At 47.2% G+C, this 15,767-nt stretch overlaps 1 protein-coding gene across 3 annotated transcripts in view, besides 2 other annotated features; it reads right to left on the bottom strand.

Annotated features, from left to right (window-relative positions):
• The window catches only part of MRC2 (mannose receptor C-type 2), a 65,928-nt gene that overhangs the window by 39,953 nt on the left and 10,208 nt on the right, over positions 1-15,767 (bottom strand). The window lies entirely within an intron of this gene.
• Positions 370-1,080: an enhancer, noted in NCBI's record as "H3K27ac-H3K4me1 hESC enhancer chr17:60729926-60730636 (GRCh37/hg19 assembly coordinates)". NCBI's record gives its function as "activates a minimal SCP1, AML or CMV promoter by ChIP-STARR-seq in naive H9 embryonic stem cells {active_cell/tissue: H9 hESC(naive)}" and the evidence as "EXISTENCE:reporter gene assay evidence [ECO:0000049][PMID:30033119]".
• Positions 1,081-1,792: an enhancer, noted in NCBI's record as "H3K27ac-H3K4me1 hESC enhancer chr17:60729214-60729925 (GRCh37/hg19 assembly coordinates)". NCBI's record gives its function as "activates a minimal SCP1, AML or CMV promoter by ChIP-STARR-seq in primed H9 embryonic stem cells {active_cell/tissue: H9 hESC(primed)}" and the evidence as "EXISTENCE:reporter gene assay evidence [ECO:0000049][PMID:30033119]".

Below are 15,767 nucleotides of genomic sequence, written 5' to 3'. Positions count from 1 at the left end.
CTGTTGCTGTCACAGGCCACCCTTTGTAGAGCAGTGGCGGGCTTCCCCCACCAGTCATTTCCAGAGATGCTTTTCTCCCCACTTCAAATCTCTGTGCTGCAGACTGTGATATCCTGTGTTCTAGGAAGACATTAAATCACACTCTGGCAGGGAATGGGTGGAGAGGTGGGACTGTCCCTCCACCTACTAAATGCAGGCGGTGGTGGGGAAGGCGACTGTCACCTTTCCCGCGGTTTTGCTGATCCTCCAGACCCCGCCCCGGGGGTGGGGGCGGGGGTGGGGGTAATGCGGGCTGAGTGGAAGCTAGCCCCGCCCCTGGGGTTCTCTGGGAAGGCAAATCCTCACCCGCGCTGGCCTTCCCCTTCGCAGTGTCATGGTGTTTGATCTCATCCCCTGCTGGCTTTTGTCTTAGACCAAAGCATCACAGTATTTTCGGCCAGTCCTCCCCCAGGCCCCCCTTGCCGGAGGAACTGGAGAGCGGCCGCGCTACAGCAAGCAGCAATCGCTCTCGCCTCCAGCCTCTGCTCCGGGCAGCGCCCGGCCCTTTCCTCCCACTGGCTCTTCCTCACCGGGGGTCACCAGGCCTGGATCCCCAGAGTCCGAGCATCCCGGGGGCGGGCACACCTTGACCCCTTTCTCCCCCAACCCAGTGCCCAGGATCTGGGGCTCCCAGATCCACCTGCTCTTGGAGTTCCGAGTCTTCTCTGCTTCTGCTCCCAAGGGGCACCCCTGCCCCCGCCATCGTGCGCCCCCAACTCCAAGGAGCGCCCCTCCCCAAGCCACCGTTCGCCCTCAATCTGCGGCACGCCCCTCCCCCCGCCACCGTGTGCCCCTCCCTCCACCGAGCACCCCTCCCCCTGCCATCGTGCACCCCCCCAAGCGGCGCCACTTCCTCTGTCACCGTGAGCCCCCTCTCCACTGGGCGCCCCTCCCTCCACCGCCGTGCGCCCCTCAATCTGTGGCACTTCCCGCTCCGCCGCCTCCCGCCCAGCTAGACAAATGCCCGGTCTGCGTGGCCGCTGCCCCTGGCGCCGTCTGCTAGCCCGCAGCCAAAATAAACAGCCCAAGAGCCACTTCCTTCCCCGTGGGGGGAATTTTCACAACGACGGCTGGCTCCAGTCGCGGCAGGAAGTGGCTTTCTGGGCCAACGATCCAACCTCATTGACCAGGCCGCTGAGGGCAGAATTCGGGAATGGGACCCGGAGCGCGGGGGCGGAGGCAGAGCCTCGCCGTGGCCACGCGATCACTTGTGCCCTCGCGGGGACCCCATCGCCGACAGCGGCCACCACTCCATAACGCAGGTGCGGAAGGCCTCTGCCGAGCCACACCTGTTCATTTCTCCGTGCGGGGGTGTTGTGCGCCTGCCCTTTCTTAAAATCATGGACAGGTTAGGACTCCACGCCTGGTTGATTGAGGACGAACCAGTGAGTGACTGCGTGACTTTATTAGGAGACATCCATACGAATTTGGGGGAAAGCATTTTTTTAAAATGTAGTTTTGACAAAGTGTCTACAAGGTGTGTGGGGTGGGGAGTAACCGAAAGCGGAAATATTACACGTGCCCCTCTGGTTCATTGAAGAGTCAGCAGAAATGAAGAAAATCTTTGGGCCTTTCTGTAATTTACAATTTTCCATAGTGAAAATTTATGTTTTCTGACTTAAAAGAAAAAAACAACTTAGATACCCCCCCACAAACAAAAGAAATGTGTAGCAAAATGTATTCAACCAGAATGATTAGTTCCTGAGAAACTGAGGTTTAAAATATTAACAGTCAGGCAGGGCGCGGTGGCTCACGCCTTTAATTCCAGCATTTTGGGAGGCCGAGGCAGGTGGATCACTTAAGGCCAGGAGTTTGAGACCAGCCTGGCCAACATGGTGAAACTCCATCTCTAATAAAAATACAAAAATTAGCTGGGTATGGTGGCAGATGTGGTGGTGTATGCCTGAGGAGACTGAGGCAGGAGAATTGCTTGAACCCGGGAGGAGGAGGTTACAGTGAGCCCAGATCGCACCACTGCACTCTAGCCTGGGGGACAGAGTGAAACTCGTCTCCGTAAAGAAGGAGAAAAAAATTAACTTTCAATTCAATTTCTTGGTAATGGTCTTTCAAGTAACACTTGACAAAAAAGGTAGAGATTCCCAACAACCTGCACTGGAGGTTTTCACTGGCCAAGTGCCCACTGAGGACCCAGGCTCTGCCCCTGGCTTCTCCATGCCCTGGACCTTTGCCTGGCATGAGTCTGAGCTTGTGAAAGATGTTTGTCGGCCGGGCGCAGTGGCTCACGCCTGTAATCCCAGCACTCTGGGAGGCCGAGGTGGGTGGATCACGAGGTCAAGAGATAGAGACCATTCTGGCCAACATGGTGAAACCCTGTCTCTACTAAAAGTACAAAAATTTGCTGGGCGTGGTGGCGTTCGCCTGTAGTCCCAGCTACTTGGGAGGCTGAGGCAGAAGAATTGCTTGAACCCAGGAGGCGGAGGTTGCAGTGAGCCGAGATCGCACTACTGCACTCCAGCCTGGCGACAGAGCGAGACTGCGTTTAAAAAAAAAAAAAAAAAGATGTTTGTCAAATGACAGAATGACTGTGAATGGAGGGATCTTAGAATTCATCTTGCCAATCGTTTAGAACGGGAAACTGAACACAGAAAGGTTAAGTGACTTGTCCAGGGATGTTCAAGGAACCTGGACCATGGCCTTTCTATTAGGTCTAAACCTCATCAGAGTCCTAAACAGCACTGTGCCAGTATTTGCTTCTCTAGGCAAATCATATCATTTACGTCAATACCGACAATGAAATGGCAAGTTAGTGATCATTACACCAGCACCACAAGCATGAACCAGGCCTGCCCCCGGCAAACTGGGACCTGTGGTCACCCTGCGCTTGTAAAAAGAGACACAAAGAATGCCAGGCATTAACCATGCGCGTCCAGGCACCAGACAGTGGGTTCCAAGGCTTTTCATTAATCCTTATAACAACCCTCAGATGTAGGCAAAATTCTGATCTGCACTTGACAGATGAGGAAACTGAGGTATTAAATAACTGAGAGATTAACATCTTGATAACACAGTTAATAAGGGGAAGAGCTGGGAAGGATGGCCAGGCAGACTTATTCCAGAGCGGACTCCAGCTAGCCTCCGAATTTTAGATGATAGCCCACAGGCAAGTTGTGTTTGGCTTCAGGATGTGTGAGAGAGATTACACATAAAAATGTAGATTTCCAGTCGAGGCAGCATGCCTGCAGGGTGCCAGCCACAAGAGCTGGTGCAGCTGCCCACCTGGGAGGGGTGTGGGCTCACCGGTTTGCCACAGTCTCCACCCATCCCTTTTGTGCCCCCACCATACACACACACTGAAGTGGAATGAGAGTGGCCATATAGTATCATGCTTGTACCCTTGTTTTTCTGAGTGGCAAAGCATTTTTCAGTATCCTGGTGTCTATTAAGAATGACGGCCAAGCATGGTGGCTCATGCCTGTGATCCCAGCATTTTGGGAGGCAGAGGCAGGCAGATCACTTGAGGCCAAGAGTTCGAGGCCAGCCTGGCCAACATGGTGAGACACCGTCTCTACTAAAAATACAAAACTTAGCCGGGTGTGGTGGCGGGTGCCTGTAGTCCCAGCTACTCAGGAGGCTGAGGCAGGAGAATCACTTGAACCCTGGAGGCGGAGGTTGCAGTGAGCCGAGATAGTGCCACTCCAACCTCAGCAATAGAGCGACACTCTTGTCTCAAAAAAATTTTAAAAAAAATTAAAAAAAAAAAAGAATGACAAGAAGGCTGTATCTATTTCAAAATAAAACAAAACAAAAAATGTATGTATCGGTGGGGCGGGGGGGGTCTGCTGCCCTGCCAACATGATTGATGTCAAATGACACTGTGACACGCTGCATAGGAGACATGAGACACATTTGAAGCACAGCACAATATGACTGAGAAATCAAGGCACGTTTCCTAATGAGCTGTTGCTCCACACATTGGCAATTCCCTGCCCTCCTGACATGGCAACATTCAAAGATCACTTGTTTGGTTCTAAAAGCAAGGCACGGCACTCTTTTTGAGACAGAGTCTCTCTCTGTCACGCAGGCTGGAGTGCAGTGATGAAATCTTGGCTCACTGCAGCCTTCACCTCCTGGGTTCAAGGGATTCTCCTGCCTCAGCCACCCAGGTAGCTGGGATTACAGGCGCCCACCACCATGCCTCGCTAATTTTTGTATTTTTAGTAGAGACGGGGTTTCGCCATGTTGGCCAGGTTGGTCTTGAACTCCCGACCTCAAGTGATCCATCTGCCTCAGCCTCCCAAAGTGCTGGGATTACAGGCATGAGCCACTGCGCCCAAATGGCACTCTTTAAAGTCAAGTGAATTTAGAATCCTTCTTGCTTGGGAACCTTCAAGATCTCCCTTTAAAATTCTAGCCAAAGATTGAGCACCTGCCAACTTCTGTGACGACAGATCAGCCGGGCCTGCCCCCACCTCCAGGAGGCACCATGGTGGAGGGCTTGGGAGGGCAGCTCTAGAATGTGGACCTACCCAGGTTCGCACCTCTGCTTGGGCCCTTGGGCCCTGGGATTGGCTGCCTCACTTCCGCAAGCCTCGATTTGGGAAGGACACGAATAAGACCTGTCTCCTGGGTTTCTGGGAGGACAAAGGGAGAGAAGGCTTCCTGTCCCTCTGTACCTGGGGAGCACAGAGTAATGGAAGGCCATTACTGCTTTTGATATTTAAGCAAGAACCTCTGCCCAGTTTTGGGCAGCGAGCTCAAGAATCTGTTTGTGTTTCACAGCGGAGAGCCTGGGAACCAGGCTTAGCAGACACTGCAATCTGGATAAGAAGAAACGATAAGAGGAAATACGGCCAAGGACTCCAGTGTTTAAGCTGCTCTTCAGAAGAATTAAAAGAAAAATAAACCCACGGTCCAGATGCAAAGTCCTCCCCCGACCCCAATTCCCATGGGTGCCCAGTCCCTTGCCACCACCATATGTTTCTGTCTTTGAACTCTGGACCCCTCCTCAGGTCTCCCAGGAGGGAGATGCAAGGAGAAGAGGAGGGTGTGTCAGGGAAAAGTAGGGGGCTCTCTGGAAGGGCTAGGGCAGGGCAGATAGGGTGTGCACTCTTTCAGCCACATTCCGGTTCTGCAGAAATAAACTCCAAGGGCAGCTGTAAAGGGAAAATGAGGTCACTCACAACGCAGCTGGAAGGGAAAGTGTGGAAAGAGGTGGGGCAGCGCCCACACCCCTTGGCCTGGCAGACACTGGGACGGGAGGAGTTGACCTGGGACCCTCACCAGGACCCTTGCGCAGTCACGCAACCTCCGCCTCCCGGGTTCAAGTGATTCTCCTGTCTCAGCCTCCTGAGTAGCTGGGATTACAGGCGTGTGCCATCACACCCAGCTTATTTTTGTATTTTTAGTAGAGATGGGGTTTCGCCATGTTGGCCAGGCTGGTCTCGAACTCCTGACCTCAAGTGATCCGCCCGCCTGGGCCTCTCAAAGTGCTGGGATAGCAGGCGTGAGCCACTATGCCCGGCCTGTTCTTCCCTCTCTAATATCAATTAAAAATTGATGGGGTGGTGAAGAGAACTCAGGCTCTAGATTCAAAGCTGGCTTTGAGTCCCAGTTCCTGAGCGAGTCACTTGACCCCTCCACTCTCAGTGTCCTCCTCTGGTCAGTGAAGAAAACACTCCTCCTGTCCACTGCGTAGACCAATTACTGAGCACTTAGCAGGTACCACTGAGCAGGTACCTCGTGCTGCCCGCTGGGTAGTTGGCAGGGATGGCTGAGATCATGGATGGGAAGATCTCACCTCACGGCTCCTCACAAAGGGAGCTCATGGGAGTAGCAGCCCCAGTGGGGCAACCTTTTTGCTGGAAAAATTGGCAGCATCTATCAAAAACCTTCAAAAGAATGAAAACTTTCACCCCAGAATTCATTTCCTAGGAATTTAACTTAAGGAAAGAACTAAGAATGTATACAAAGATTTAGCCACACAGCATTATTTACAATAGCAATGATGGGGGAGCAACTAATGTCCAACAATATAGTGTTGACTAAGTAAATGGAAATATATTCGTCTAATGGAATACTATGCACACAACAGAAATGTATAAAGGGTATTTAGACACAGAAGTTCACATTCTATTGCTGATTTTTTTTTTAAAGCAAAAATGGCAGGGCGCGGCAGCTCACACTTGTAATCTCAGCACTTCAGGAGGCCGAGGCGGGTGGATCACCTGAGGTCAGGAGTTCGAGACCAGCCTGACCAACATAGTGAAACCCCTTCTCAACTAAAATTACAAAAAATTAGCCAGGCATGGTGGCATGCACCTGTAATCCCAGCTACTCAGGAGGCTGAGGCAGGAGAATCACTTGAACCCAGGAGGCGGAGGTTGCAGTGAGCCAAGATCATGCCACTGTACTCCAGCATGGGCGATAGAGCAAGACTCTGTCTCAAAAAAAAAAAAAAAGAAAAAGAAAAAATGAATATATAGTATAACTTCATTTTTATTTTCTTTTAAATCAAGTAATGTCTAGAAAGACGCTTTTGCATTCTTGTTCTTAAAGTTGGGTGTCCAAATCGCCTGGGGAGCTTATTTGCAATGCCGGTGTGTGGGCCCTAGAGCAGTTCTACTGAATTAGAATCTCGGAGTGATGGAATATCTAGATTGTAAACAAGAGTCCCAAGCAATTCTGGGGTACATCAGGGTTCCAGAACAACTGTACATACCCAGGTGTTAACAGTGGTTATGACTGACTTATGAGATAGCTGTTGATTTTTATTTTCTTCTCTTTGTATTTGCTACAATTAATGTATTTGGTAATTAAAAAGAGATAGGGAATATATGGTGTGCATCTGTCCTTTGTTTCAAACTTAACCCTGCGGGACTTGAACTCATATATGCAGAGTTTGACACTAAACCCAGCACATTTGGAGAGGGTGAGCAAACAAGTAAACCAAAGAAGATCCTTCTGCGAGAGGCTCCAGATGGATGAGACCAACCATCCAATCCTGGTGCCAAGGAGCAGACACTGCTGACAGCAAAGAAGTGGGTGCCTTCAGAGGCATGAAGTTGACGTAGGTCAAGCACCTTTTCACCCTGACTGGGATCCACATCCGACTTCAGGTCTGAGCAAGGAGTCTGGTGTGCTACGATGTACACAGTGACACTTCTATCAGTGACAATGAGAAATGACCTGCCCAGCATGGTGGCATCACACCTATAAACACAGCACTTTGGGGCTGAGGCAGGAGGATAGCTTGAGCCCAGGAGTTCAAGACCAGCCTGGGCAACATAATGAGACCCTGTCTCTTAAAAAAAGAGAGAGAGGGGGCCGGGCGCGGTGGCTCACGCCTGTAATCCCAGCACTTTGGGAGGCTGAGGCAGGTGGATCACGAGGTCAGGAGATCAAGACAATCCTGGCCAACACGGTGAAACCCCGTCTCTACTAAAAATACAAAAAATTAGCTGGGCATGGTGGCAGGCGCCTGTAGTCCCAGCTACTTGGGAGGCTGAGGCAGGAGAATGGTGTGAACCTGGGAGGCAGAGCTTGCAGTGAGCCGAGATCGCACCACTGCACTCCAGCCTGGGCAACAGAGCAAGACTCCGTCTCAAAAAAAAAAAAAAAAAAATAGAAAAGGACAGAGAAATGACCTAAATGTCCAATAGGGGATAAGTTATGGTCCACTCACACAACAGAACCCTATGTAGCCAGTAGAAGTGTTGGGCAGAAATACATTGATGACATATTCCTGAATGAAAGAAGAACATTATGAAACAACATGAAAACATCTCTATAAAGTTTTTTACAGGGAAAGCCAGGTGCGGTGGCTCACACCTGTAATCCCAGCACTTTGGGAAGCTGAGGCAGGTGGATTGCTTGAGCTCAGGAGTTTGAGACCAGCCTGGGCAACATGGCAAAAACCCATCTCTACATAAAATACAGAAAAAAAAATTAGCTGCAGTTGGTGGTGCACACCTGTGGTCCTGCTTACTCAGGAGTCTGAGATGGGAGGATTGCTTGAGCCCAGAAGATTGAGGCTGCAGTGAGCCAAGATCATGCCACTGTACTCCAGCCTGGGCAACAGAGCAAGACTCCATCTCAAAAAAAAAAAAAAAAAAAAAAAATATATATATATATATATATATATATATATAATATATACACACACACATATTATGTGTATATATACACACACAATATGTATATTATATACGTGTGTATATATATCACATATATATATATTTTTGAGATGAATGTATATAATGTTTCTAGAGGACCATGCAAAGGAACCAGACCTGGATCACATTCCTTGCTCCTGTGATCCTGTCTCTTAGCCTCTCAGGCTCAATTTCTTTATCTGTGAAATGGAGGAATGTGAAGGTTTAAAATATGGGCTATACGGAATTATCTGATGCTGACCCTGGCTTACTTTATGTAAATTTACCGTTAGTAAATGATAATGGGGTCTCCCATTTCTCATTTGTTACACAAACATTATATGGAAACATTATAGTTTTTAAAAAGAAGGAAGCCTTCCAAAGGCCAATTCCCTAACTTACTGGCACCCTTCTGAGTTGCATTCGAGTCACGTACCAGGTACTGTCATTTCATGTTTATAAAATTTTGTGTCCTGTTGTTTTTCGAAAAGCAAACGTGTATGACAGCGTTTGAACCCTCCACCCCTCCCCTTCTGTGAACACTGGGCTAAGTCACAAAGATAAAGAAGAGAAAACTCGCGGTAGGGGGCTATTAATGGAGAGAGCACCAGGTGGTTCCCTGCAGACACAGAACCAGCTCCAGCTGGTGACCCTTGAGAGTCTCTCCCGCAGAATCTCGGAGGCTGACCCTCGACCACCAGCGTGGAGGAATCCTATGCCCTCACGTAAGTCCCAAATGAGGATCTGCGGGCTGTGCTGAAAAACACCACCTTCCAGGGAGGCTCTGACTGGCAGTGAGGAGTCACATGCTCATCCTCTGACCAATTACAGGACGGTACTGGGAACAGGACACAAATGCTGCTGGGGTCACGTGACTGACTGATCACAAGCAAAAGATGCCCGCTGCCACTCCATGGCCCAAGATACGAACATGTTTATTTCTTATTTTTATTTTTTGTAAAGATGGGGTCTTGCTATGTTGCCTAAGGTGGTCTTCAACTCCTGGCCTCCCAAAGTGCTGAGATTACAGGCGTGAGCCACGGCATCCCGCCTCCAGACATGTTTTTTTATTTTTCCAGACGGAGTCTTTCTCTTTTGCCCAGGGTGGAGTGCAGTGGTGTGATCTCGGCCCACTGCAACCTCCATCTTCTGGGTTCAAGCAATTCTCCTGCCTCAGCCTCTCGAGTAGCTGAGATTACAGGTGCCCATCACCACACCTTGCTAATTTTTGTATTTTTAGTAGAGACAGGGTTTCACCACGTCAGTCAGGCTGGTCTCAAACTCCCGACCTCAAGTGATCCACTTACCTCAGCCTCCCAAAGTGCTGGGATTACAGACAGGAGTCACCACACCCAGCCTCCAGACATGTTTAAAACAGAAAAATTTCATCTACAATCACCCCTGTTAAATAATATATTATGTAGTAGATAGCATAGTACAGTCTTTTAGTTTTACTGTGGTTTTTCTACCAATTTTATCTAGACATCCAAAATATTTCTATTCATATATATACACACACATGTAATACACATATATATACATAAATATACATGCACATATCCACACGCAAACATTTTTGGATCTTTTTTCACTTAACATTTCAGCAAAGGGATTTTTCTGTGTCCTTAAAAATATTCGTAAAAATCATCTTAATGGCTGTATATTATTCCATGATATAATATCACGTTTCATTTCATCATTTCCTAGCTATTACTTTAACTTATAAATAGAATTTCCTAATTATAATGTTACGTTGAACATATTATTATATCAATCTTTCCTGGCACTGTTGCGAGAGGTGAAATTGTTTTGCTAGTGATTTTAAACATTTTCCATTGGCTTATTAGCCACTGGCATTTCCTCTTGGTGAACTCCGTTCAGATCTTTTATAGTCTTATCTATTTTGATCTTTGTTGCCTTAAAACTATTGCAGGTTCCTGCGTTTTTCTCATAGTTTTATATGAGCTAGTTGCCATGTTTGTTACAGATCCCTTCCCTGTTTGTTGTTCTTTCTAAATTTTATTTGAAACCCTCCCTGGTTGCTGAGTACCCTTCTCCCGCACTAAAGGTAACCACTCTCCTGACTGCAAACAGCACAGATGAGTTGTGTCTTTTATTTTGGTATTTTCTTTTTTCTTTTCTTTTTCTTTTTTTTTTTTTTTTTTTTGACGGAGTTTCACTCTTTGTCACCCAGGCTGGAGTGCAGTGGTGTAATCTCAGCTCACTGCAACCTCCACCTCCCGGTTTCAAGTGATTCTCTTGCCTCAGCTTCCTGAGTAGCTGAGATTACAGGCACCTGCCGCCATGCCCAGCTAATTTTTGTATTTTTAGTAGAGACAGGGTTTCATCATGCTGGCCAGGCTGGTCTCGAACTCCTGACCTCAGGTGATCCACCTGCCTTGGACTCCCAAAGTGCTGGGATTACAGGCGAGAGCAACCGCGCCTGGCTATTTTGGTGTTTTCTATACATTGGGTCATATGGTATGAAGTAGCGTCTGGCTCAGTTTGTGAACTCCATCCATGCTGTGGCATGCAACTGGAGCTTGTTCATTCTCATCACTGTCTAATATTCAATTTTGTGAAGCTGCCACAATTCATCCATTCTATCGCTGATGGGCATTTGGGTGGTTTTCAGTTTGGCACTAGTTTTTAGTTTTTGGCTATTATGAATAATGCTACTATGAACAACTTTGCTTTTTTAAGACTATGGTTCAAATTCCTTAGGTTATCTACTAAATACAAAGGGGAGGCCAGCCATGGTGGTTCACACATGTAATCTCAGCACTTTGGGAGGCTGAGGCACATGGATCACTTGAGCTCAGGGGTTCACAACCAGCCTGGCCAACATGGTGAAACTCCATCTCTACTAAAAATACAAAAATTAGCCGGGCATGGTGTCAGGCACCTGTAATCCCAGCTACTTGGGAGGATGAGGCAGAATAATTGCTTGAACCTGGGAGGTGGAGGTTGCAGTGAGCTGAGATCGTGCTGCTGCACTCCAGCCTGGGTGACAGTGAGACTTCATCTCAGAAAAAGGGAAAAGGGACCTTTTTAGTGGAGAGATCTGGTAGACACCAGCTGAAACAAATGGTCAAAGTTAGCGTAAGGGAACAAATTGACATTGGTGTGACAGAATGGAAGGACACAACATCACCCATGAGTTCCCTTTCCAAAAACGTTTAATATGAATCCAGGAACGAGTAAACAATCAGACAAATTTAGACTGTGGGACGTTTTACAAAACAACTGGCCTGGGATCCTCAAAAATGCAATGCCGATAAAAGACAACAAGGCCAAGCAACTATTCTAGATTAAAGGAGATTAAAGAGACATGACACCTAATTGAATTCTGAATTTTAAAACAGCTATAAAGGACATTATTGGGACAAATGGAGAAATCCTAACACGGACTGCATATGAGAAAAAAAATTGCATCCGCTCTATTTCTTGGGTGTGATTAGATATTATGGTTACATAGTAGCATGTCTTTGTTTTTAGTTGTTACATGTTGAAGTATTTAGGTGTGAAATGTCATGTCTATAACTAACTTTCAAAGTTTCACCAAACAGACCCACCACACACACACACACACACACACAGAGAGTGAGATAAGCAAATGTGGCAAAATGTTAACAACTGGTGCTTCTAGGTGAAGAGTATATGGGTGCCCACTGTATTATTTTTTCAGTTTTTCCAGTGGTTTGAGAAAGAGTATTGTACCATATGCAGTCCTCTGGGATCTTTTCCCCCATTCAACATTAAGTCTCTAATATTCACCCATGTTGTTGCAAATAGCTGGAGTCCATTCGTCCACCTCTGTGTTACATTTCATTGTGTCTATTCTATAATTTATCCATATCTCTTTCCAAGTACATTTTTGTTTTTGCTACTATAAACAGTGCTTCCAAGCTCTTTGCAAACCATCAATGCCCTTACATACTTAGATCCTTCAGGAATGAGGTTAAATTTTTATGGGGTAATACCAGAATCCCCTTTCCTTGGGGACCAAGATGACTGCAAAGCTGCTTCCCGTTGAGTCCTTCCTATTCAGCCAGGCTAGTTTGTCTGGGAGTCGTTCTCCCCACTGTCAGACAGGTTCCTGTTTCTAGGTCTAAGGTTTTAGAGCAGTCGATTGCCTCCATCTTTCTTTTCTTTTCTTCTCTTTTTTTTTTTTTTTTTCTGAGACAGTCTCGGTCTGTTGGCCAGGCTGGAGTGCAATGGCGCCATCTCAGCTCACTGCAACCTCCACCTTCCGGATCCACCCACCTCGGCCTCCCAAAGTGCTGGGATTACGGGCATGAGCCATCGCACCCAGCCGATTTTTCTCTTAATGAACTTAAAAATTGCACCTACAGGCCAGGCACAGTGACTTATGCCTGTAACTCCAGCACTTTGAGAGGCTGAGGTAGATCACTTGAGGCCAGGAATTTGAGACCAGCCTGGGCAACATAGCAAGACCTTGTTTCTATTTAAAAAAAAAAAAATTAGGCCGGGCACAGTGGCTCACGCCTGTAATCTCAGCACTTTGGGAGGCTGAGGCTGAGGCGGGTGGATCATGAGGTCAGGAGATCGAGACCATCCTGGCTAACACAGTGAAACCCTGTCTCTACTAAAAAAAACACAAAAAACAAAAAACAAAAAAATTAGCCGGGCATGGTGGCGGGCACCTGTAGTCCCAGCTACTCAGGAGGCTGAGGCAGGAGAATGGCGTGAACCTGGGAGGCAGAGCTTGCAGTGAGCCGAGATCGTGCCACTGCACTCCAGCCTGGGCGACAGAGCGAGACTCTGTCTCAAAAAAAAAAAAAAAAATTAAATATTAGCCAGTGGTGGTGGTGTGCTTGTATTCTCAGCTACTGCGGAGGCTGAGGGGGGAAGATCACTTCAGCCCAGGAGGTCGAGGCTGCAGTGAATCCCACCATTGCATTCCAGCTTGTGCAACAGAGCGAGACAGTGTCTCAAAACAAAACAAAACAAAAAAGTGGACCTGCAAATGAAATCAGTGTACGTTTGAGATTATTTGTGGCACTCTATATTGGGAAGGGACTGCTTTCAAAACGCAAGCCTCAGGAAAGCAGGAATCATGCCTAGCCTGCTCACCACGGTGTTGGCAGCACCAAATACCATGCCTGGTACGTTTTCAATGTTCAGGAAAGAAAACAAAAACAAAGACACCAATTAACTGAATGAATGAACAAAGACACCAGTTAACTGAATGAATAAACGGACAGATGAATGTCAGGTATGCATCTTGTTTCCAGTATGTGCATATTAAATGTTGTAAGACTGTCTCACAGTCCTCAGAACTTTCCTTGTAAGAATCAGCTGGCCAGGCGTGGTGGCTCACACCTGTAATCCCAGCACTTTGGGAGGCCGAGGCAGGCAGATCACCTGAGGTCAGGAGTTCGAGACCAGCCTGACCAACATGAAGAAACCCCCGTCTCTACTAAAAATACAAAAAAAAAAAAAAAAAAAAAAAAGCTGGGCATGGTGGCAGGTGCCTGTAATCCCAGCTACTCGGGAGGCTGAGGCAGAAGAATTGCTTCAACCCAGGAGGCAGAGGTTGCAGTGAGCCAAGATCGAGCCATTGCACTCCAGCCTGGGCAACAAGTGCAAAACTCTGTCTCAAAAAAAAAGAATCATTAGCCATATATTTGTCACTTAAAGTTACGTAAATAATCCATCATGTGGTTTCCAATTTGTTTTGCTACTAAAGGCTGTGGCTCAAGCCTGTAGTCCCAACAACTCAGGAGGCTTAGGCGGGAGCATTGCTTAAGCCCAGGAGTTTGAGGCTGTAGTGAACTATGATTGTGCCACTGCACTCCAGCCCGGGCAACAGAGTGAGACCCAGTCTCTTAAAAACACTTCTAAGAACATTTTTTTTATCTTTGAGATTAATATCTTATAAATTACCAAAAGTAAAATTATGACATCAAAGGATAGGAATTCTTACATATCCAGTTTCTTACATATTGTCCGAAAGATTGAATCCTGAAAAACAGAACCAATTTACAGTCCCCCAGTCAGATATATTGGCTTCTTCACAGCTCTGCCAATACTAGCTTTTCTGTTTTTGCTAGTTTAAGTAGTTAAAGAAAGCTAATTTCCTTCATTTCCAGTGATCCTTGCACTTTGTTTGTTTATTTATTTATTTAAGACAAAGTCTCACTCTGTTGCCTAGGCTGGAGTGCAGTGGCACAATCTCGGCTCACCACAACCTCTGCCTCCTGGGTTCAAGTGATTCTCCTGCCTCAGCCCCCTCCCCAACTGAGTAGCTGGGATTACAGGAGTGTGCCACCACGCCCAGCTACTTTTTGTATTTTTGGTAGAGATGGGGTTTCACCATGTTGGCCAGGATGGTCTCAAAACTCCTGACCTCAGGTGATCCGCCTGCCTTGGCCTCCCAAAGTGCTGGGATTACAGGCATGAGCCACTGTGCCCGGCCCAATCCTTGCACTTTCTATGTGACAGCTTGCTATCTGAATTTCCTCAAGTGTGATCAACTATAAACTGAAATTAAAATTTCTAATTATAATCCAGGTGTCCTCATAACATTTATTTTTGTTTTATTTTGCTTTTGAGACAGAGTCTCGCTTTGTCACCCAGGCTGGAGTGCAGTGGCACGATCTCAGCTCACTGCAACCTCGGCCTCCAGGGTTAGGAGTTCAAGAGCAGCCTCAATCTCCCAAGTAGCTGGGATTACAGGCGCCCACCACCACGCCTGGCTAATTGTTTCTTTCTTTTTTTTTTTTTTTTTTTTGAGACAGGGTTTCACTCTGTCACCCAGGCTGGAGTGCAATGGCACCACCTCGGCTCACTGCAACCTCTGCCTCCCAGGTTCAAGCGATACTCCTACCTCACTCTCCTAAGCAGCTGGGATTACAGGCACACGTCGCCACACCTGGCTAATTTTTATATTTTTGGTAGAGACAGGGTTTCACCATGTTGTCCAGGCTGGTCTCGAACTCCTGACCTCGTGATCCGCCCACCTTGGCCTCCCAAAGGGCTGGGATTATAGGCATGAACCACCACGCCCGGCCATCCTCATAACATTTAAAAGTAAAAATTCCTTTTCCTATTAGTGTGTTTTTTCTGGTGTGTCTCACATTATTTTCTTATAACAGTTTAAATCCACTTCTGGAATTTTTTTCTAGTACATTGGACTTTTTTCTGTTTATTTTAATTTAAAACCATATGATGTTTTTCATGACCGTGGCATCATGTAAAATTCTAGAAGGGTAACTCTCATTGCCTTTCTATTAAAAAAAAAATTCTTTGGAACACTTGTCTTTCTTTTCTCATTTTCAACAAATATTTACTAAATAATACCAAATGCCAGCCTCATAGTTGCTCACGCCTGTAATCCCAACACCTTGGGAGGCTGGGGCAGGAGGAGCCCTTGAGCCCAGGAGTTCGAGACCAGCTTGGGCAACATAGGAAGACCCTCCCACTACTAAAAATAGGAGCAACAAAATAGAGTGGTGGCGCCGCCTGTCGTCCAGCTACTTGGGAAGCTAAGGCAGAAGAATCGCCTGAGCCCAGGAGGTCGAGGCTCCCGTGAGTGCCATTGCACTCCAGCCTGGGTGACAGAGCAAGACCCTGTTTCAAACAAACAAACAA

Source organism: Homo sapiens, chromosome 17 (genome assembly GCF_000001405.40).
Source record: "Homo sapiens chromosome 17, GRCh38.p14 Primary Assembly".
Classification (NCBI taxonomy): Eukaryota; Metazoa; Chordata; class Mammalia; order Primates; family Hominidae; genus Homo; species Homo sapiens.
Note: the sequence above shows the minus strand (reverse complement) of the source record. Positions and strands in the feature narration are given on the sequence as shown.